The 25,027-nt window shown below is 37.2% G+C and overlaps 1 long non-coding RNA gene across 4 annotated transcripts in view, besides 1 other annotated feature; it reads right to left on the bottom strand.

Annotated features, from left to right (window-relative positions):
• LOC124902439 (uncharacterized) overlaps positions 1-25,027 on the bottom strand; it is an 820,351-nt gene that overhangs the window by 203,010 nt on the left and 592,314 nt on the right. The gene's annotated exons all lie outside the window — the stretch shown is intronic.
• Positions 13,122-13,322: a silencer, noted in NCBI's record as "peak969 fragment used in MPRA reporter construct". NCBI's record gives its function as "represses an SCP1 promoter by STARR-seq MPRAs in K562 erythroleukemia cells {active_cell/tissue: K562}" and the evidence as "EXISTENCE:reporter gene assay evidence [ECO:0000049][PMID:32103011]".

Raw genomic sequence — 25,027 nt, 5'->3', positions numbered from 1 at the left:
TATGCATTACAAATATTTTCTCAAATTCTGTGACTTTCTTTCATTCTGTTTATTGTTTTTGAATAAATCAAGGAGAAGGTAAATGAAGCCCCATGAACAGTATTCATCTTCTTATTTCAGTGCTTTTTGTGTTCTATTAAGAAATTACCTATCCCGCTGGGCACGGTGGCTCACGCCTGTAATCCCAGCACTTTGGGAGGCCGAGGCGGGCGGATCACAAGGTTAGGAGATCGAGACCATCCTGGCTAACACGGTGAAACCCTGTCTCTACTAAAAATATAAAAAATTAGCCGGGCGTGGTGGCGGGCGCTTGTAGTCCCAGCTCCTCAGGAGGCTGAGGCAGGAGAATGGCATGAAACCGGGAGGGGGAGCTTGCAGTGAGCTGAGATCGCGCCACTGCACTCCAGCCTGGGCAACAGAGCGAGACTCCATCTCAAAAAAAAAAGAGAAAAAAAAAGAAATTATCTATGGCAACTTCTTAGATACTACCTTATTTTCTAAAATAGTTATTGTTCCACCATTCTTATTTAGCAATATAATCCAAATAAAATTGGTTTTCTGTGTGGGATCAAGTTTTTTACATACATAAGTGATATGGTTTGGCTCTGTGTCCCCACTCAAATCTCATGTTGAATTGTAATCCCCACATGTTGAAGGAGGGCCTGGTGGGAGGTGATTGAATCATGGGGGCGGACTCCTCCCTTGCTGTTCTCATGATGGAGTTTTCACAAGATCTGGTTGGTCTTTTGCTTTTTTGTTGTTGTTGTTGTTTTGTGACAGAGTCTCACTCTGTCGCCAGGCTGGAGTGCAGTGGTGCGATCTTGGCTCTCTGCAAGCTCCACCTCCCAAGTTCAAGTGACTCTCCTGCCTCAGCCTCCTGCCCAGCCGAGTAGCTGGGACTACAGGTGCGCACCACCACTCCCAGCTAATTTTTGTATTTTTAGTAGAGATGGAGTTTCACCATGTTGGCCAGGATGGTATTGATCTCTTGACCTCGTGATCCACGAGGCCTCCCAAAGTGCCAGGATTACAGGCGTGAGCCACCACACCCGGCCTGCAAGATCTGGTTGTTTAAAAGTATGTAGCATGTCCTCTTTCACTCACTCTCTCCCTCTCTCCTCTTTTTCCGTGATAAGATGTGCTTTCTTGCCCTTCACCTTCTGCCATAATTATGTTTCCTGAGGGCTCCTAGCCATGCTTCCTATACAGCCTGCAGAAATGTGAGTCAATTAAACCTCTCTCCTTCATAAATTACCCAGTCTCAGGTATGTCTTCATAGCAGTGTGAGAATGAACTAATACAGTATTTATATTTGGTTAATCTAGCCTCATTTACTTCTTCATTGCACTGCACTTGCACATTTCTCATACACCAAATAAACCTATGTTTTACCTTAGTTTACCCCATTAAGCAGACTTGTATGCAGATAATTTACTTTATTTTATATTTATTTATTCAGACAGGCTCTTGCTCTGCCATCCAAGCTGGAGTGGAGTGCAATAGCGTGATCACAGCTCACTGTAACCTTGAACTCCTGGCCTCAAGCTATCCTCTTGCCTTGATCCCCCAAAGCACTGGGATTATAGGCATGCCACTGCACCTGGTTAAACAGCTTATTTTAAAAAGTATTTCAGGAAATTAAGAAGAGACTAAGAGTGGAACAGGTAAGGAAGGAAAGCCAACTTGAGGGTATGTTAATCAACTGTTTATCACTGTGCTTAGTCCCTAGTACCTCTTAAAAAAAGGTGTAGAATATCCTCAGAATGTTTCAACCATGACATGAAAGAGAGTCATATTTGTACATGAATTCTCCTTTCTCAATTGATAGTTTAACACCTGAGGGTGTTAAATTCATTGCAATTTCAAGTATGCATGCATTAGATTGGCTGAGTGAGCTACTACAAGTGTCTGACACAGTAGCAGACAAGTACTGGAGCAGCAAGAAACAGATTCATGGTGCAGATGTGGCAAGGTATTAATGGCTACATACTCATGCAGCTGGTTATTGCAGAGCCTGGAATAAAAAGATGAATTGAGAAGCTGTGAAACAGGAAATGCAAAATGCCTGATAAAGTTCACACCTTATACCAATAAGCTCTGCTCTACTGCAGTCCATCACAGAGGCAAGTGATCAGATGCAAATTTTGAAAAGTCTCAATACAAAAATACGCAATTAACAACCATTTTGAGGCTGAAACTGATATTTATCATCTCCCTTATCAACCATTCTAGAGTTCCCTCACTCACAGTTATTACTTCAGCAAAACCAGATTGCTTGTCCCAAAGGGGATCAAGGTCTCCTTGGACTATGTTGTGACAAGAGTAGTTGACATAAACCTGAGACAAGACAGTGAATGTGTACAGCTATCTTTAGGACATAAACATGAACTACTTTTTTTTTTTACTATTTTTATGGCCTATATAGTTGGACATTGAGAAAAATTCCTTCACCATATCAGTAGCCACCATGTGGACCCATTCCAGAAAAGATGCCATTTGTTTAGCTTAGTTGCGCTGGAAAAGTGTTAAGTTAAACAGTTAACAGCTCATTCTAATGCCAGTCTTCTCAGAGCCTTTATATTCAATGCATGCTGCGAATCTTCAATAAGGAGACACTATACAGAAACATGCCCAAATTTATTTGTTCATAAAACACTTCTCTGTGGAATATTTGGAAGAATTAGGGTTGTGAAGTACACACTTTTTGGAATGCTCTACTTAGGAGATAAGGAATTGCTGAAGTTCAGAGTCTATATTCTCATTATCTTTGAAGAACTAAATTCTGGAACATAGCAATGCACAATAAATGTTGAATAAGTGAGTGAGTAAGTGAGTGCATGGTTGAATTGACACCAACACACTGATAAGATGTGACTAGTTTGGGGCCATTTTAGTTTTTTACACCTTTTTAATGAAAGTTGTTAAATGATTGCAATGTATGGGTACTAGGCAAAGTAATTTATTAGTAGTAACTCATTTAAATGTCACTCAAAACCCTATGACATAGACACTATCATGATTTCTCATGTATTGTTGAACAAATAGAGGCTAAGAAAGTTTAAGTAACTGTCAAAGAATAAACAACCAATAGGTAGAAAGCAAGACAGAAAGCCCAGTTCTGTTTGTGTCTGAATCCTACATTCATAACCAGCATGATCATATCACTGCATTTGTCTCAAATTTTCTGCCACTTCATAAAAAGCCTTAGAAGTATAAAGCATGAACAAGTCTAGATTTTCTTTTCTTTTAGAATTGCACTGGAAAAAATCAGACCAATATTTAGTGTTATCTAGCCCTCACTTCATACTCAATACAGCTGAAAGATGTATTGGAACACCTCCAGACAGGAGAGAGTAAAACTGGACTGTATGCCAGCTTTAAAGGCTACTGAACCTTTGGATTCCTCATTTGAAAAAATCGAGACAAGATGTATTTTATAGAGTTTCCCTGGAGATTAAAAATTAGCATATAGAAGGATAAGCATCTTACCAGAATGTGAACTCTGGAGTCACACTACAAGGATTTGAATTCCAGCCCTAATATTTTCTAGCTGAGTAATCTTCTGCAAGTTAGTTGATTCATCTGTGCTTAGTTGCCTCATCGGTAAATCTGACTGGTAATACTATCTAAAACATAGGGTTGTGGAAAGAATCAAATGAATTAACATACATAGTGCACTTAAAACATTTTCTCACTCATAAGACATCTGTGTAAAGATTAGTCATGTTAGGTAATCTGTAACTAGTGCCTATTACATGTATCAGTCCCATCAGCATGTATAAAAAGCATACTGCTTTAATAAACTTTCATTGTAATACTGTCTCTGCCACTGTTAGTGATATGGCCCTGTCAACTAATTTAATTTTTCTATACATTAGTTTTCTCATCTGTAAAATGTAAACAAGAAAACTTTATCTCACAGCATTAAGACTAAATTCCCCATCATATGCAACATCCTGGAGCATAGAAGTGTTTCAGTAAAAATTAGTAGTTTGCTTTCTTCCTTCCTCCCTTCCTTCCACAGTGGGTTTGCTCTCTGAAAGTCTTAAGTAACAAGTAAGGCTATACCTTAAAAAATATATGGTAAGTCTTTCAAAGATACAATCACCAAGTACGACAATGCTTTCAAAAGGGCTTCGGATGGAAATTTAACTCAGATATTATAATATGACATATAACATATCAAACTACTTCTTCCTTTCTTGAAGGCATATAGTCAGCCCTCCATTTTCACAGATTCCACATTCATGAATTCAAACAACAAAGGATCAAAAATATAAAGAAAGAATAATAATACAAATAAAAACCAATGCAGTATAATAATTTCTGTAGCATTTACAGGCATTTACATTGTATTAGGTATTATAAGTAATCTAGAGATGACAAAGTATTTGGGAGGACATGTATAGGTTGTATACAAATACTACACTGTTTTATATCAAGGGCTTGCTTATTGGTATTTGCACACATCCTGGAACTAATCCTTTCCACCATGCCTCACCCCATGCAGATATCAAGAAATGACTATACATATACACAATTTTTTTTCAACTGGCATATTCACCAATTAATTTTGCTATCTACATTAGCAGGATGCTTGCAAGTGGTAAATAAAGACTGGAGAGAACTAAGTAAACATTCCCATTATCATAGGAATATGTTAGAAGTGAAAAGTGGCTGAAATCTAGTTTTCTTGACCAAATCTAGTTTTCTTACAATTTTCTAGTTTAAAGTAAATCTAATGAGTCAGAGAATCTTGAGTCAAATGATCTCTTACTAATGCTAAACCTCTAGGGCCCTGTGAGGTTTCCAATAGCTTTATGTACAATTCTCACCACAGCATTATGGGAAAATTGTCATTATGAATTGTATTGATGCTGTGATTAAAAGCAATCTTGCTTTATGGCCTTCAAGAGACTTAAAATATTACAACCTGGAGACAGATAAAGATGTTCTAACCAATCAGCACTAATAACACCACACATGTATATTGAATTTTATAACTCACAAAGGAATTTGACATCCATTATTGCACATCATCTCTGTGAAGTAAGCAACACAAGTATTTTCATCTAGTTTTATTAGTCCAGAAAATAAGACACAGAGAAGTAAAAAATGACATGCCCAAAATTCCTTACACAACTAGAGTACAGCTTTCATCTCAGTCTAAAAGATCTTATTTCTACCATACACTCTATTTCCCAGCAACCATGAGGAAAATAAATAAAAATTTAAAACTTCTTCAAATATAAAAGAATAGACGTGATTTTTTTAAAAAAAAGATTTTTTCATTATTAGTAATGGTTTTTGGATTAGGCATATTAGTCAAATTAACTACCTTTAGCCAAGAGGGGGTCCTTTGTTCTATCCTTACTGTTGAATTCTCCCTACTATTCATGCACCCTGAAACTCTGAACATGACGATGGTCCCTTGATCCTAACCTCCCTGTTGGAACCTCCTCCATGTGTTGTGATAACACAAATGTGCCCATTTCTTCTCCCATTCTCTCTAAAATAAATGTGTGGAAGAAACAGAATTAGGCCCTATCAATCCTGCAATAATTTTATTTGTGTGTTTGTTTTTAATTGTCCCTTCATTATTTTAAAGTACACTACAAAATACCTTTGAAATCTGTAATCTTTATGAAGGGATATAAAAACCTACCAATAATGTTTACTCTTTATCGGACATTTAGGGGACTGCTTCATATTCTCTATGATTCACTGACAATCATGATAAATAAGTAAAGTTAAAAACAAGCACAAAAGAAAAAAATGTATTGAGTACTATTAACTTTCTTTGAGAAAAATAATGTCAATAGATTTAAAATAAAGTGCTTTCAGTCCTAAAGATGCCTTTTAAATAATGTGTGAGTATGTGGGAGGGTGTGTGGGTGTGTTGGTATGTTTCAAAGAAGAAAATCTTAAAATTGAAAAGTTAAACTTGTATTTAAAAGCAAGAAGAAAAGTTCTCATCTCTGGCACATAAAAACTTCTATATTCACAATATCCCTTATTCATTGACTTTTTCTATCATCACTATTCCCTTGACTGTTCTTCACCTTTTAAAAACAGGACAAGACAGTGGGAACGGTTGTATTAGTGATAGAAACCCAGAGGGGAAACAGTCTTGTTTATTTTTACAGCACCAGGGTTCTTTCCTTAGGTGAACATCTTTGGAACTACCATCTGTGCTAGGGAGAGAAAGCTGGGGGAGAATGATGAGAGACTATTGAGAGGGAAGGCAACAATTCCAAAGGGGAAACTAAATCACCCAGCTGTCAGTGTTTTAGAAGCTGAGAATGTCATTTTGGTAAATAATCCAAGCCTCTCTCTTCGTTTCCAAAGATCTGCCTTTGCACAATGGCCTTGCTCTCACCGCTCTGCTGGGGGGCGGCGGGGGGGTGGAGGTACAGAGGAGGGGAACTGATAGTATATCAATAGTATCACACCTGACTCTGAACCCAGTCTTGCAAAAGCCCAAGGGGCATCAATTGACAGGACAAATGGATTCCTTTTTTTTGACAATGTGACCCACCTGAATGTCTCTGGTCACTTCTCCATTTTCTAGTCAGGGTTTATCAATTTAAAATGTTTTATCCGTAGTCAAATGTCCTTGGCAGAAAGAGGAACCCCCAAGACACGTTAAGGGTAGAGAATTTAAAAGAGAAGTATAGTTGTGATTTAGAGTTATAATACTTTACAATAAAATTATATTTGTTATATTAATTTTCTTGTAAAATTTAATACATTGGAATGAAAATTTAAAACAATCTCAGCATAACTCAGAAATATCCTAATAAATATAGGAAGCTAGAAGAAAGAAATAATATGATAAAGGCAATTTTAGAAAAAAAAAAGTATGCTAATGTAGAAATTTCCAGCTAGAGGAATTTGACAGATCCCTTAATCTTACTTCTTTTATTTCTCACTCTTCAATTTATAGATTTGAAGTCTCAGGCCCAGAAAACATTCCTGACTTGCTAATTCATGGTTGAACTAGATCTAGAACCCAGGTGTTGGAATCCTAACGACAGCTTTTTTGGTTTTTTACTTGATACCAAGTAGCATTTATTAAACAAAGGTTTATCGGGAATTTATAAACTAGTCATCAAACCAAAAAAAAAAATCAATCCAAAATTTTCAATGAACTAGAAATATTTTTCTGTGGTTTACCTGGCACCAATTTAAACTCCTGAAAATTCCTTTTGACATTGAAAACCTAGGCTATTGCCCTCCCCATTTTTTTGCCCATCACCACTAACAACAAAATTGTGTTTAGGTCAATTAAAGGTTAGAAAAGTACTTCACATTGTATGCTTAATTGTGATGAAGGCTGAGTTTTACTTGCAACAATAACTAAGAAAATCCAAGCCAGGATGACAAATTCTAATAGTGTTTTATCATCTTTTCTAAAAAATAGATACAGTGAGTTCATTTCCTCTGAAGCCTCATGCACTTCTGCATGCATATGAATTTGCCAAAGGAGCTACTCAGGGGCTATTAGGCTCAGATACATATACAAATATAGGAAATATAACTCTGGCTCTTGATCAAAAACATATTCTCAATGTTCTCATGAAATAGCAAGAAATGAAAAGAAATAATCTTCCCAAGCACTTGGCTTGTTATTACCTTATTTTTAATTCCATATGTCAAACAGAATCCTGGAGGGATCAGATATAATACTGGAAAGTACATTACAAGGGGGAAAAGCTCTCTATTAGTCTGATGATAAAAGTAGCTGAAAAAAAAAATGCTTCTTTTCCTTCTCCAATTTTCTAGTACAGCCTTCTGCCTGTAGGTAAAAGTGTAAATTACAAATAGAAGCTATCAAGTATCCATGTATCTGCCTATTAGTTTGTGGCTACCCAGACAATTTAAAATGAAACGTTCAGCTATGTCTCATCTTATTATCTCCAGTGGAAAGAAAAAAATAAAAATAAAAAAATTGGTGTAGTTTTATAAGAGCTACTAAGGTAGTATCATCACAATCTAAATGTTTTCATTCCAAGGAAAATCTATGGTTAATCTCTGTGTGTGATATATCAAAATGACTGTTTCAAAAAAGAAAGAAGGAAAGTTTCCAGGTAATTGGGTGAATTTTTACTTTCTATCTGATGATTTAGTAAAATGTAGATAGTGCTGAAATCCATTGCTAAAAAGAAATGGTTTATTAATGAGTAATGAATTAAAGTCTGGAATATTTTAAGTATAGAAAAACTTTAAATGCAATATTCATTGTCAAACTTCAGACTGAGTTAGAAATTTCTAAAATTACTTGATTTGGTTACTTGTATAAGGTCATGTCTCACAGTCTTATGAGATCAGATATTTTTAGAAATAGATCTAGTCAAGATGTATGTTCTGATTTGAATACAAATGGTTTTAACCCATAACGTAAACAGGTTATCTTAGTTCTTGAAAACACTAGTATTTATTGATTGTAAGTTTATAAAAAGGATTTTGAAAAATAAGATTTGTCATGAGGCAATTTTACTTTTATTTGGTCATTTTAAAATTCCATTTAAAAAATTATCAGATATTAACTTGTATAAATCTGGAAAGAGCTTCAGAAAGCACTCATTCATCTTTTGCCCATACTTAGTCTCTTTTGCTCTGTTTCAAGGTTAGAATGAGTTTGAGAATAGCTGCAATCATGGTTTCGACAAACCAGAGTCTGTGGTGGGTTGAAAATATTGTCTGATAACTAACTCTTAGCATTTGGATTCTCTACTTGTACTCCATTTAGTCTGAGAAAATACCTTGGGGCATTGTTGTTCACCATACTCAACTTCTGTTTTATCTTTATCAGATGCTGGTCAGGAGTGGTAGGTTTTGCCTTCTTGCCTAGTAATAAGTTTGGGTCAATGCATGGGAGTATGACCACGCAGCTTTAAGATCTTCATTCTAGAAGCACTGTTCAGCATCCAGGGGTCAAGGACAATGAAAGGCAGAAGGCCAAAAGTGCAAGAGAGGTGGAGATTAAAAAAAAATTAATCATTGATTAATGTATGCTACATGTGGGCTCAAGTTTTTCTTGTTTAATACATCATAGGTGTCTGGAACATCCTTATAAATATTTTCTGAGTAAATGAATAAATACAATTAAGCAGAAGGCAGGACTGAAAAGAAAAAATAAAGGAAGAAAGTCCACCAGATTCATTTTTCTCCTCATCAAAACTGTTCAAACTACATGCCATTACTTTTCTTCTTGGCAATTCAGGGAAAATATTATTAATTATTTATACTTAGAATTATTAATTTTACAATTATTTTTATTTATTTATTTTTAAGACAATGTCTGTGACCCAGGCTGGAGTGCAGTGGTATGATCATGGCTCATTGCAGCCTTGAAATTCCAGGCTCAAACAATCCTTCCACTTCAGTCTCCTGAGTAGTTAGGACCACAGGCATGTGTCACCATGCCCAGATTTTTTAAAAACATTTTTTGTAGCGATTGAGGTCTTGCTATGTTGCTTAGACTGGTCTCAAACTTTTGGGCCCAAGCAATCCTCCCTCCATAGCCTCCCAAAGTGCTAGAATTATAGATATTAGCCGCCACACCCAGTTTATTATTATTATTATTTACAAATCAACACTCATGTGAACATAAGCTAAAGGGTACATAACACAATCAGTTCCTCTTCCTTGAAAAAACATTACTCTGCTTCCCAGTAAGTCTGGAATAGTCTCCAGAGTTCTTAACACACCATGCCAGGGAGCTACTATGTATAATGGCACTGCTAAGTGTGAGAAAACCTACCCATTTCCAATGTGGATGAAATATGTGGATTGGTCCTCTGAAAAGCTGCAGTCTCATAACAAAAATATAAGCATAAAATAGATGAATTCATTCTCATCAATATTAAAAATCTTTGTGCTTCAAAGAGTATCATCAAGAAAGTGATGTGTTTACACTATAAAAAGAACAATTAAAACTCAATGATAAAATGTCAAATAATACAATTTTTAAAATTGGCAAAGGATCTGAATATATTTCTCCAAAGAATATATGCAAATGGCTAATAAGTACATGAAAAAATCTTCAACATTGTTATCTGCTTTGGTTTGAATGCAGTGTCTCTCCAAATTTCATGTTGAAACTTAATCTCCAATGCAATCATATTAGGACGTGTATTAGTCTGTCCTCACACTGCTAATAAAGACATATCCGAGACTGGGTAATTTATAAAGAAAAAGATGTTTAATGAACTTACGGTTCCACATACTGGGGAGGCCTCACAATTATGGCAGAAAGTGAAAGACATGTCTTATATGGTGTCAGGCAAGAGAGAATGAGAGCCAAGAGAAAGGGGAAGCCCCTTATAAAACCATCAGATCTTGTGAGACTTATTCACTACCATGAGAACAATATGGAGGAAGCTGCCCCCATGATTCGGTTATCTCCTACCGGGCCCCTCCCACAACACATGGGAATTATGGGAAATAAATTCAAGATGAGATTTGGATGGGGACACAGCCAAACCATATCAGAAAACGAGGCCTTTAGAAGGTGGTTAGATCATGAGGACACTGTCTTCATGAATGAGGTAAGTGGCCTTATAAAAGGACGTGAGGAAGCCTTTTTGGCCCTTTTCCTCCTTCTACCAGGTGAGGATGCATCTTGGAAGCAGACAGCAAGCTCTTACCACACATCAAATCTGCCAGAACCTTGATATTGGAATTCCCAGACTCCAGAACTATGAGAAATAAGTTTCTGTTGATTATAAATTACCCATCCTGTAGCATTTTGTTACAGTAGCCTAAACAGAGTAAGGTATTTTTCATCGGGGAAATGCAAATCAAAAGCACCATAAGATACCACTTTACACTCACTAAGATTAATAGAATGAAAAAGATAATAAAAGTGTTAATATGAATGTGGAGAAACTGGAACCTCACACACTGATAGTAGGAATGTAAAACAGTGCAGCCACTTTACAAAATAGTCCAGCATTTTCTGTAAGAGTTAAACATAGAGTTACAACCTGATTCAGGAATTCCACTCTGAGTATATACCTAAGAAAATGAAAAGCTCTGTCTGCACACAAAAAATTATACATGAATATTCAGGGCAGCATTATTCATAATAGACAAAAAGTAGAAATAACACAAATGTTCATCAGTCAATGAAAGGATAAATGAAATGTGGTATATCCATACAATGAAATATCATTCAGCGATAATAAGAAAGTATTGATACATGCTACAACAGGATGAATCTTGAAAACATTATGTTAAGTGAAGAAGCCAATTGCAATGGAATAAATATTGTAAATACTGTAATGATTTCACTTGTATGAAACGTTCAGAATAAGTAGATCCATAGTAGATTAGTGGTCACTTAATGCTATGGGGATGGATGTATAGGGAAAAGGGGTGACAGCTAATGGATTTGGTGTTTCTCTTTGAGCTGATAAAAATGTTCTAAAATTAATTGTAATGGATGCACAACTCTATAAATGTATTAAGAGCCATAAAACTGAACACTTTAAATGAGTGAATTGCCTGGTATATAAATTATATCTCAATAAAACTTTTACCAAAACATTCCAATTTAAAGAACTCTCAGGATCTTTTTTTTCCACTTTTCACATAGAGACAACTTTCATTCTCTTTGTGCAATGAAATTAGCAATGTCTAAAGAGGACCACTATTACCCAGTCAAGGACCCTGTGTTAACAAAAAGTTGTTGAAATATTCAGAATTTAACAGAGGCATGTGTACATAATATAAATATGTGTCTGGATATACACACATTTATACATTCAAATTTATACACACACATGCATTTATTATTACAAATAGCCTTAGCCAATGTTCAACAGGTTGAACATTTTCTCTCATTCCAGTCAATCACAGCTAGTTTTCCAACAGTCTCCCTAAAGGTTTTATGACCAGGACCAATTAGGCAGTATTGCTTTATTGGATTGTTAAGGCCTGCCAACAGTTTGGTGAATTACACAGCTGTCACATCAGTACATGAGTGATAGTCAGCAGAAAGACAATAACAATAACAGAAGCACCAGTGTACAAATCACAGGAAAAAGAAAAGCCTAACTGTTCTAAAATGTTGGAAAATCATTATAACAAAGAAAAATAGGCATATACTAGTTTCTGGATATTTTACATATAGAAGTGAGTCAAGAAAACAGTAGGAATTTAGTAAATGACATTACTTCATTCTTCCCATTGTGCACAGTCAGATCATTTTAAGATCTTGATATGGTTTGGCTCTGTGTCCCCACCCTAATCTCATCTCAAATTGTAATCCCCACATGTCAAGGGAGGGATCTGCTGGGAGATGATTGGATCATGGGGCTAGTTTCCCCCATGCCCTTCTCCTGATAGTGAGTTCTCATGGGATCTGATGCTTTAAAAGTGTTTGGCGTTTCCCCCTACACCTCTCTCTCTCCTCCTGCTGTCATGTAAGACGTGCCTTCCTTCTCTCTCACTTTCCTCCATGACTGTAAGTTTCCTGAGGCCTCCCCAGCCAGCCATGTGGAACTGTGAGTCAATTAAACCTGTTTTCTTTATAAATTACCTAGTTTCAGGTAGTTTTTTATAGCAGTGTGAAAACTGAATAATACAGACTTTACAGGTGTTAATAACTCTTTTTTAGAAATTACACCCAACAGAACAAGAAACATACGTATATTTCACACACCCTACCATTCCAGATACAGATAGATATAAGGAGATAGATATAATGACAGAGACACATACAGAGATGGGTATGTCTATGTCTATCTCTCCACAGACCTGTGAAGAAAACTTGCGAGTCTTTACTACAATTTTCTGAATTTATGGTGTGCCTTAGTGAAAGTTCTCTGAGAAGTCCATTGTGGATGTCAAGACAGGATTAAGTGGGCAAGGAATTTATTAGGGAAAACACCTGTGTGAAGAAAAATGAAAAAGGGAGGGAGGCAGCAGTCACCTGGAGAGGGTGAGAGGCATCAGGTCATGATGCAAGGCTGACTCTGAAAAAGGGAGGTAGGCAGCAGTCACCTGGAGAGGGTGAGAGGCATCAGGTCATGATGCAAGGCTGACTCTGAAAAAGAGAGGGAGAGAAAGGGGGTGGAAACCTCCTAGACTATGATATGGAGGAAGGAAATTTTGGCAAAGCTATTAGGGAGTTCCTGAGACAAAGTCAGCCATATCTCCCAGAAACAGGTTTGCTTTTCTCTGTCTGTCTTGCTCAGTCATTGATTTGGAGCAATCCATGGCTTCAATGCAAATGCTTTCAAATCACAGCAGCTGAAGGCTTTGGTTAACTACACTGACTGTAGATGAGAGTTTACAAGATATATTCTCATGGCAACCACACTATAATTCACAAGCATCATCTATTTCCAGAAATTTTTGTACTGTGAAAATATCTAACTCATGAGATAGTTTCAAATGCAAAGAGAGCTTTATTAATATTTAATGTAGTAGTACTACAGTGGACAGGATACTTGATTGGTAGACATTTATAAACATTTGTTATCTTTGATTTCATAATTTTCTTGATTAGATGTGGTAGATTAATTGCAGGAATGACACCAATTCCTTCCGCCTGTCCTGTATGCACATCCTTTGCAATGTGCTTTTGCAACTCCTCCCATCCTGAAGGGTGGTCTATTTTCTCCTTGAGTGTGGATTATCCTTTAAATTGCTTTGCCTAGTAGAATGTGCAGAAAGAATAATGTATCTTTTCCAAAGCTAAGCCTAAAGAGATCTTGTGGGCTTCTATGCTCTTTTCCTCCTCTACCTTTGCCATTAGAATTTTCTTGACCTAGCTTCTTAGAATATGACATTGTGTGGGAGGGTCAAGTTGGCACAGATGTCTCAGGCTGAGGCCCCATACATGTGAGAGAACCCAGCTAAGTAAGATCACTAAAGCCAACTAGCAAACTCACAGTTTACTACAGACCCATAAGAGAGCCCTGCCATGCCCAGCTCAAATCTGTAAAACCACCGAGCTGACCATATGACTTGTGATCAATAATAAATTACTGCTGTTAGAAACTTCTAAGTGGTAGGGTAATTCATTACTTAGCAGTAGCTAACTAATACATTAGTAATGAACATTTGAAAGCTTATATGTCTAAGCTTTTGACAGTACTTAATGGATTTAATACTATATGATTACACACACCACACACACACACACACACACACACACACACACACACACACACAAAACATGTCATAAGGATGTAATGACCAGTGAATGGGGCTTTTAACTGCATCCTATACCTTGAAGGAAATTCAGTGTCGTTGGTGGCCATGACTTCAGTCATCAAGAGCAGTTTTTCTGTATAGCTGTTGTTTTTATCATACTATATGATGTAGTGACTGGGATAAGGCCTAGAGGCCCTGAGTGATCATGACCATTGGTGGATGATACAGGAAAAGTATTCCCTCAAATCTCTCCATAATATTGGGAGGAGACGCTTTAGATTCCACTCAAAAGGCATTGAAAACTAACCTTTATCATCTGCTTATTTCTGGCCTCTGTAAGAGGTCTGGGAACCCAAAGGGATATAAAAGTGATCCATATCCATGGCATGGAAAATATTTAAAGTTAAATGAACAGAAAAACCATTATTATGGGATTAAAAGTTTCATTTTATTGGAAAACAGAAAGGTAGTTAAATTTCTGCTCTTAGTGTAGTACTTAAAATCTCAATCTTCCACTAGAACCCCTCTTTTTGTATTTCTAACCACAATGGATTTTATATTAAATGAATTAAATATTTTAAATCAAATCAGTCATATTCTATAGCTAGGCTGCCAAGTGTGAAAATTAGAAAGCTGCTTTTATATCTTCATTTAATTTCTGGATAGCAGTTTCCTTTGTTAGGAGACCTGCAAACTAAATGATCCATAGTCCTTACCCATAAGCTTGAAATGATGTCTGGGAAATAGGAAGTTATACACTCCCCTCCAGCAGTATCCTCCCCTATACCCATTGACGTTTAAACAAGGTCATCGAATTCTAGGCCCTAAAACTCTAGCACAGCCCAGGACATAATGATACTTTTATATACTAAAGAGACACATTTTGAGTTCTAGTTTTTTAAAGCACTATGGAGACATGTGAACTGGGCAAATCATAGACTGAAGGCTGCTAAAACTCCTGTCAATCACTCCCCTGCCCTTATTCTTCAGTCCTTGCACATTGACTGACAGAATAACTGTCCTAAGGCACAGTTCAGATCATGGCACTCCCAGCTCACACACTATCATCAACAGTAAAATCCCAAGTGCCCAAAGCCCTCTAAGATCTGGCTACAGATTATCTCGCCAGCCTTAACCCCTGATGAATTCACCCATGCACCAGCCACATCCAACTCTTCACTGTTCTCCCAATTGATTTAAAAATTTTTTTCCCATAGGTTATTGGGGAAAAGGTGGTGTTTGGTTACATGAGTAAGTTCCTTAGTGCTGATTATGAGATTTTGGTGCACCCATCACCTAAGCAGTATACACTGCACACAATTTGTAGTCTTTTAGCCTTCACCCCTCTCCCACCCTTTCCCCCTGAGTCCCCAAAGTCCATTGTGTTATTCTTATGCCTTTGCATTTTCATAGCTTAGCTACCACTTATGAGTGAGAACATACAATGTTTGGTTTTCCATTCCTGAAACTTCACTTAGAATAATAGTGTCCAATCTTATCCAGGTCGCCGTGAATGCCATTAATTAATTCCCTTTTATGGCTGAGTAGTATTTCATTGTATATATATACCACAATTTATTTATCCACTCATTCATTGATGAGCATTTGGGTTGGTTCCACGTTTTTAAAATTACGAATTGTGCTGCTATAAACATGCATGCACAAGTATCTTTTTCATATAATGATTTCTTTTCCTCTGGATAGATACCCAATAGTGGAATGGCTGGATCAAATGGTAGTTTTACTTTCAGTTCTTTAAAAAAAAATCTCCACACTGTTTTCCATAGTGGTTGTACTAGTTTACATTCCCACCAGCAGTACAGAAGTGTTCCCTGTTCACTGCATCCACGCCAACATCTATTATTTTATTATCTTTTTATTATGGCCATTCTTGCAGCGCATTGTGGTTTTGATTTGCATTTCCCTGATCACTAGTGATGTTAAGCATTTTTTCATATGTTTATTGGCCTTTGTATATCCTCTTTTGAGAATTGTCTATTCATGTCCTTAGCCCACTTTTGATGAGACTGTTTTTTTCTTGCCAATTTGTTTGAGTTCATTGTAGATTCTGGATATATAGAATGTCAGATATATAGAATGTGAAGATTTTCTCCCACTCTGTGGATTGTCTGTTTACTCTGCTGACTGTTCCTTTTGTCGTGCAAGAGCTCTTTAAATAAGTGATAGATATTTATCTTTGTTTCCATTGCATTTGGTTTTGAGTTCTTGGTCATGAAATTCTTGCCCAAGCCAATGTGCAAAAGGGTTTTTCCAATGTTATCTTCTAGAATTTTTGTAGTTTCAGTCCTTCATCCATCTTGAGTTAATTTTTGCATATGGAGAGAGAGTAGGATCCAGTTTCATTCTTCTACATGTGGCTAGCTAATTATCACAGCACCATTTGTTGAATAGGGCGTCCTTTCCCCACTTTACGTTTTTGTTTGCTTTGTTGAAGGTCAGTTGGCTATAAGTATTTGGCTTTATTTCTGGGTTCTCCATTCTGTTCCATTAGTCTATGTGCCTATTTTTATACCAGAACCATGCTGTTTTGATGACTATGGCCTTATAGTATAGTTTGAAACCAGATAATGTGATGCCTCCAGATTTGTTCTTTTTGCTTAGTCTTGCTTTGGCAATGCGAGCTCCTTTTTTGTTCCATATGAATTTTAGGATTTTTTTTCTAGTTCCGTGAAGAATTATGGTGGTATTTTGATGGGAATTGCACTGAATTTGTAGATTATTTTTGGCACTATTGTCATTTTCACAATATTGATTTTGCCCATCTATGTGCATGGAATGTGTTTCCATTTGTGTTGTCTATGATTTCCTTCAGCAGTGTTTTGTAGTTTTCCTTGTAGAGGTCTTTTACTTCCTTGGTTAGATATATTCCTAAATATTTTATTTTATTTTGTATTTTTTGCAGCTATTGTAAACAGGGTTGAGTTCTTGATTTGATTCTCAGTTTGGTCGCTGTTGGTGTATAGAAGAGCTACTGATCTGTGTACATTAATTTTGTATCAGGTAACTTTGCTGAATTATTTTATCAGTTCTAGGAGCTTTCTGGAGGAGTCTTTAGACCTTTCTAGGTAAACAATCATACCATCAGCAAACAGCAATAATTTGACTTCCTCTTTACCAATTTGGATGCCCTTTCTTTCTTTCTCTTGTCTGATTCCTCTGGCTAGAACTTCCAGTACTATGTTGAAGAGAACTGGTCAGAGTGGGCATCTTTGTCTTGTTCCAGTTCTCAGAGGGAATGCTTTCACCTTTTCCCCATTCAGTATAATGTTGGCTGTGGGTCTGTCATAGATGACTTTTATTACATTGAGGTATGTCCCTTGTATGCCAATTTTGCTGAGAGTTTTAAAGGAATGCTGGATTTTGTTGAATGCTTTTTCTGCATCTATTGAGATTATCATGTAATTTTTGTTTTTAATTCTATTTATGTGGTTTATTACATTTATTGACTTGTGTATGTTATACCATCCCTGCATCCCTGGTATGAAACCCACTTGATCATAGTGGATTATCTTTTTGATATGTTGTTAGATTTGGTTAGCTGGTATTAAGAATTTTTGCATCTAGGTTCATCAGGGATATTGGTCTGTAGTTTTCTTTTTTGTTTATGTTCTTCCTGGTTTTGGTATTAGGGTGATACTGGCTTCACAGAATGATTTAGGGAGGATTGCCTCTTTCTCTATCTTGTGGAATAGTGTCAATAGGAATGGTAGCAATTCTTTGAATGTCTGGTAGAATTCTGCTGTGAATTCTTCTGGTCCTGGACTTTTTTGTTGTTGGTAATATTTTATTACCATTTCAATCTCGCTGCTTGTTATTGGTCTGTTCAGGGTATCTAATTCTTCCTGATTTAAGCTAGGAGGGTTGTATCTTTCCAGGAATTTATCCATCTCCTCTAAGCTTTCTAGTTTATGTGTGTAAATGTGTTCATAGTAACCTTCAATGATCCTTTGTATTTCTGTGGTGTCAGATGTAATATCTCCTATTTTGTTTCTAATTGAGCTTATTTGGATTTTCTCTCCTCTTGGTTAATCTTGCTAATGGTCTATCAATTTTATTTATCCTCTCAAAAAATCAGCTTTTTGTTTCATTTATCTTTTTTTGTTTGTTTCAATTTCATTTAGTTCTGCTGTGGTGTTAGTTATTTCTTTTCTTCTGCTGGATTTGGGTCTCATTTCTTCTTGTTCCTCTAGTTCCTTGAGATGTGACCTTAGATTGTTTGTTTGTGCTCTTCCAGACTTTTTGACATAGGACTTTAGGGCTATGAACTTTCCTTTTTGCATCATCTTTACTGTATCCCAGAGGTTTTGATAGGTTGTGTAACTATTGTCCTTCAGTTTGAAAAAATTTTTAATGTCCATCATGATTTCATTTTTGACTCAATGATCACTGAGGAGCAGTTTATTTAATGTCCATGTATTTGCATGGTATTGAAGGTTCCTTTTGGAGTTGATTTCCAATTTTATTCCACTGTGGTCTGAGACAATGCTTGATATAATTTCAATATTCTTAAATTTATTGAGGCTTGTTTTGTAGCCTATCATATTATCTATCTTGGAGAAAGTTCCTTTCACTGATAAATAAAATGTATATTCTGCAGTTGTTAGGTAGAATGTTCTGTAAATATCAATATCTGTTAAATCCATTTGTTCCAGGGTATAGGTGTTTGTCTGTTTGTTTCGAGATAGAGTCTCACTCTGTTGCTCATGCTGGAGTGCAGTGGTGCAACCTCAGCTCACTGCAATCTCTGCCTCCCAGGTTCAAGCCATTCTCCTGCCTCAGCTTCCTGAGTAGCCAGGATTACAGGTGCCTGCCACCACATCCCACTAATTTTTGCATTTTTAGTAGTGATGGGGTTTCACCATGTTAGCCAGGCTGGTCTTGAACTCCTGACCTCAGGTGATCCACTTGCCTCTGCTTTCCAAAGTGCTGGGATTACAGGCATGAGCCACCACAGCTGGCCCAGGGTATAGTTTAAATCCATTGTTTCTTTGTTGACTTGCTGTCTTGGTGACCTGTCTAGTGCCGTCAGTAGAGTATTGAAGTCCCTCACTATTATTATGTTGCTGTCTATCTCAATTCTTAGGTCTATTAGTAATTATTTTATAAATTTGGTAGCTCCAGTGTTAGTTGCATATATATTTAGGATTGTGATATTTTCCTGTTGTACAAGTCCTTTTATCATTATATGATGTCCCTGTTTTTCTTTTTTAAAACTGCTGTTGCTTTAAAGTTTTGTCTGATATAAGAATAGCTACTCCTGTTTGCTTTTGGTGTTCATTTGCATTGAATGTCTTTTTCCACCCCATTACCTTAAGTTTCTGTAAGTCCTTATGTGATAGGTGAGTCTCTTGAAGACAGCAGATAGTTGGTTGGTGAATTCTTATCCATTCTGCAATTCAGTATCTTCTAAGTGGAGCATTTAGGCCATTTACATTCAATGTTAGTATTGAGATCATTCCATTCATCATGCTATTTGTTGCCTGTATACCTTTCTTTTTTTTTAATTGTATTTTTGTTTTATAGGTCCTGTGAGATTTATTCTTTAAAGAGGTTCTGTTCTGACACGTTTCCAGAATTTGTTTCAAGATTTAGAGCTCCTTTTAGCAGTGCTTGTAGTGTTGGCTTGGTAGTGGTGAATTCTCTCAGCATTTGTTTGTCTAAAAAAGACTGTATCTTTCCTTCCTTTATCCAGCTTAGTTTCACTGGATACAAAATTCTTGGCAATAATTCTTTTGTTTAAAGAGGCTGAAGATAGGGCTCCAATCCCTTCTAGCTTGCAGGGTTTCTGCTGAGAAATCTGCTGTTAATCTGATAGGTTTCCTCTATAGGTTACCTGGTGCTTTTGCCTCACAGCTCTTAAGAGTCTTCCCTTTGTCTGAACTTTAGATAACCTGAAGACTATGTGCCTAGGTGATTTTCTTTTTGCAATGAATTTCCCAGGGGTTCTTTGAGCTTCTGTCTAGGTCTCTAGCAAGGCTGAGGAAGTTTTTCTCGATTATTCCCCCAAATATGTTTTCCAAACTTTTAGATTTCTCTTCTTCCTCAGGAACACAAATTATTCTTAGGTATGGTCGTTTAACATAATCCCAGACTTCTTGGAGGCTTTGTTCATTTTTTTTGTTCTCTTATCTTTGTCTTTGTTGAATTGGGTTAATTTGAAAACCTTGTCTTCGAGCTCTGAATTTCTTTCTTCTGCTTATTTTTTTCTATTGCTGAGACTTACCAGACGTTTTGCATTTCTATAAGTGTGTCCATTGTTTCCTGAAGTTTTTAAATTGTTTATTTATGCTATTTATTTCATTGAAAATTTCTCCCCTCATTTCTTTGGTCATTTTTTTGACTTCCTTAAATTGGGCTTGCCTTTCTCTGATGCCTCCCTGATGAGCTTAATAACTGACCTTCTGAATTCTTTTTCAGGTAAATCAGGGATTTCTTTTTGGTTTGGATCCATTGCTGGTGAGTTGGTGTGATTTTCTGGGGGCATTAAAGAACCTTGTTCGGTTATATTAACAGAGTTGGTTTTCTGGTTCCTTCCCATTGCGGTAGTCTCTGTCAGAAGGAAGGTCTAGTGCTCAAGGCTGTTGTTCAGATTTTTTTGTCCCGCAGGGTGTTCCCTTGATGTAGTACTCTCTCCCTTTTCCTAGGGATGTAGCTTCCTGAGAGCCAAGCTATGGTGATTGTTATCTCTTTCCTGGATCTAGCCACCCAGCAAGTCTATCAGGCTATAGGCTGGTACTGGGAGTTGTCTGCAGAGTCCTGTGATGTAAACTGTCTGTGGGTCTCTCAGCCATGGATATCAGCACCTGCTCCAGTGGAACTGGCAAGAGGGTGAAATGGACTCCATGAGGGTTCTTAGCTTTTGTTGTTTAATGCACTATTTTTTTACTGGTTAGCCTCCTTCTAGGAGGTGGCACTTTCAAGAGCATATCAGCTGTGGAAGTACAGAGAGGATCAGGTGGTGGGCAGGGCCCTAAAACTCCCAACAGTATATGTCCTTTGCCTTCAGCTACCAGGGTGGGTAGGAATGGACCATTAGGTGGGGGTAGGGCTAGGCATGTCTGAGCTCAGACTCTCCTTGGGCAGGTCTTGCTGTGGCTGCTGTGGGGGATACGAGTGTGGTTTCTGGGTCAATAGAGTTATGTTCCTAGGAGGATTATGGCTGCCTTTACTGTGTCATGCAGATTGTCAGGGAAGTGAGGGAAAGCCGGCAGTCACAGGCCTCACCCGGTTCACATGCAATCCAAAAGTCCAGTCTCACTCCCACTGTGCACCCCATCAACAGCATTGAGTCTATTTCCAGGCAGTAGGCAGGCAGGGCTGAAAACTTGCCCCAGGCTACCTGCCTCCCAGCTGCAAAAACAATAGGGCTTTTGTACCTCCCCTGCCTGTGGAGTCTGCACACCCAATTCACACCCTCCCCCAAGTTCTGACCAGGAGACTTCTTGATCAATTCAAATTGTTACAAAGGTCCCTTCTCCCTGTGGCCTTTTCCCAGTGACTCTGGCAGCCTTCCCCAAGGACCCAGTATTTGGGGTGTCTCCCAGGTCCTGCAGGAGCAATCTGCTTCCTTCAGAGCGTCTCTGGGTCCTCTCAGCTTTCCTGACTTATTCCTGAGTCATTCTGGAGCAAAAAGTTCACAGTGCAAGCCTCCACACACTGCTCTGTCCATCCAAGTGAGAGCTGCAATCTAGTCCTGCCTCCTGTCCACCATGATCCCAGCTGATTTTTGAACTTCCCATTCTGCCTAAGATAATCCTATACTGCCCACTAAGAATGCCTTCTCAACTATTTCCGTTTGTAGAAATACTGGTATTTTCCACAGCCTCACTCAATAGCTTCAACACAAATACTAAGTCATTTGTAAACATGTCTATTTCACCTAATTCACCATAAACTCCTTGTGTTTAGGATACATCTATTTCATTTTGGCATACTCCATAATATCTGGATTTGTGCCCCAAAATTACAGGTATAATAGTAGTAACAATAATCATGATGTAATAACTTACATATGAATATGCATGAAATATGTATGTGTTTGTTTGTATATGTCTGTATATATTCTGATTTACTATGAGGATTCAAGATAAGATCACATCTCTTTTAATATTTGTCAGTATAAATATAATCCTCCAATACACCATTTAAAAATTCCTTCTTATTTCTCTCCCCCTTTCCCTCTACATACCTGGGTAGTTCTGGATGCCCACATAATAACTCAGTGCAAGAGGCAAGTCATGGACACAAAGGCCTCATCAAGGAAGAACCAAAAAACTTTCCCGTTCCCGATTGCAATTGCTGCTATCATTGCTGGAAAGAAAAGGAGACCACTCTTTTTGTGATTCAAATCAACCATTCTTTCCTTATATTTACGTAGAGGAATTTTGCAAAGTTACAGCTTTTTTGTTGAAGCTTATTCTTCTAAATAAAAGTGTCAAGAGTGTTTTTTTCACAGAGGGTCCCCTAATTCTACTACAAATTTGTTCACTTTTTTCTCACTGATTTCAGATCTGAACCCTGCAAAGGTCACAGGGAGAGAGAAACAATCTCTGTTAGGCCAAAGAAATACACAGTTGCATTCTTTCTGCAGAATGCATTGGCATAACTAATAAATATTTCTCAACTTGCATTCTTCCAAAGGAGATTTAATGTTTTACCTGCCATAAATAAAGGCAACTGATAATTTGTAAGCAAAATATCCTCTTACTTAAAAAAAAAATGAAAGCAATAAAGAAAAAAAGGGAAATGATAGGGAAGCCAATAAAAATACAACTGATTATAATTTCTCAATTTCCTTGAGTTCTGTTATGTGGGAGGCAATATATTAACCATTTTTTAAACATATTTTATCTTCTAATTCTCACAACAACCCTATTGTGCTCTACTGATTGAAATACTGAAGAATCAAGCAATGAACAATGTTCTCCATTCAAGAGTAGAACTTAGACCTGTCTGACTCCACTGTTTCTGTTCTAGCAAACTCAACTGCCCTGTTATAGCATTGGGTTAATTAAACTGAATGAAATGATAGCAGTTTCACACTACTTTCAAGATGGTAAGCCTACTTTATCCAAATTATTATCATACCTTTTCATACATTGATAAAGATATACAGAACAAAACTATATTAAGTATCTGTTCAGGGAATTTTTCTAGGATTAATTAAACTGGCTCTCTCTCTCATCTCAGTATGTTTGCACTGACATCTGTTGCATGGCATCCATACACGCTTTCTTCCTGTACTGTACCACCAGGATCTGAAGAGGCAGAAAATTATCCCTCTGCTAAAAGCAACTCCTATATTTCACAATATTGAATCACTGCATTTTGCTTTTTTTGAAAATAACAGTTTTCTGCTGTAACGTTTTATAGTGACTGCAATTGTCATATAGCCATCATTATGAGCATGCTGCATTCCAGAGATCTCTTTTGCAACCAGTATTCTTTTTATTCAGATTTTTTTCTCCTCTCATTTCCTGCATATGACTATTTTGTGAAATTGTATTTGGATGCATAAACTATGCTCTTGGACACAGCAGTTAAAAAAAATGTGCTTCTGTCTCCTGCATTGCTAGAAGCTCTATCAAGTTTTGGTGATTTTGATAGATCACCTTGTAATCTTGCCTTGTGATTATCTTTTTCATCTAATATAATAACCAATGAAGTACCTTCTTGCCTCTAAATATTCAGAGCAATGAACATACATTGAGAAGCACTCATCCTGGACAAAATCCCTGAATAATTTGATTAAAAAAAGAAAAAATCTCTTGTACTTTTCCATCATGTAGATCATAAAGCTAAAAATAGCAGAAGGTGATAAAAATATTCATGTATATGTCATATGCCTGTAAATGAATCAGATCCGTATGTAAACAGGGAATTGGAGATAAATAGAAGGTGACTGATGTGGTTAGGCTTTGTGTCCATGCCCAAATCTCATCTTGAATTGAAATCCCCATAATCCCCTCCTGTCCATGGAGAGACCAGGTGGAGATAATTGAATCATGGGGTCAGTTTCCCCCGTATGTTCTCATGATAGTTGGTGAGTTCTCATGAGATCTGATGGTTTTATAAGGGGTTTTCCCCCCTTCACTCAGCACTTCTCCTTCCTGCCATTTTGTGAAGAAGGTGCCTTGCTTTCCCTTTACCTTCTGTCATGACTGTAAATTTCCTGAGACCTCCCCAGCCATATGGAACTGTGAGTCAATTAAGCCTCTTTCATTTATAAATTACCCAGTCTTGGGGATTTCTTCATAGCAGTGTGAGAATAAACTAATACAGTAAATTGTTATCAGCAGTGGGGTGCTGCTGTAAAGATACCCAAAAATGTGGAAGTGGCTTTGGAACTGGGTGAAACAGTTTGGAAGGCTCAGAAGAAGACAGGAAGATGTGGGAAAGTGTGGAACTTCCTAGACACTTGTTGAATGGTTTTGACAAAAATGCTGATAGTTATATGGACAATGAAGTCCAGGCTGAGGTGGTCTCAAATGGAGATGAGGTACTTCTTGGGAACTAGAGCAGAGGTGACTTTGCTTTAGCAAAGAGACTGGCAGCAATTTTCCCCTGCCTTAGAGATATGTGGAACTTTAAACATGAGAGAGATGGTTTAGAGTATCTGGTGGAAGAAATTTCTAAGCAGCAAAGCATTCAAGAGGAAACAGAGCATAAAAGTTTGGAAAATTTGCAGCCTGACAATACAGTAAAAAAGAAAAACCCATTTTCTGAGGAGAAATTCAAGCCTGCTGCAGAAATTTGCATAAGTAACAGGAGCTGAATGTTAATCACCAAGACAATTAGGAAAATGTCTCCAGAGCACCTCAGAGACCTTCACAGCAGC

Source organism: Homo sapiens, chromosome 10 (genome assembly GCF_000001405.40).
Source record: "Homo sapiens chromosome 10, GRCh38.p14 Primary Assembly".
Taxonomy (NCBI): domain Eukaryota; kingdom Metazoa; phylum Chordata; class Mammalia; order Primates; family Hominidae; genus Homo; species Homo sapiens.
This window is presented reverse-complemented; position numbering and strand designations above follow the sequence as displayed.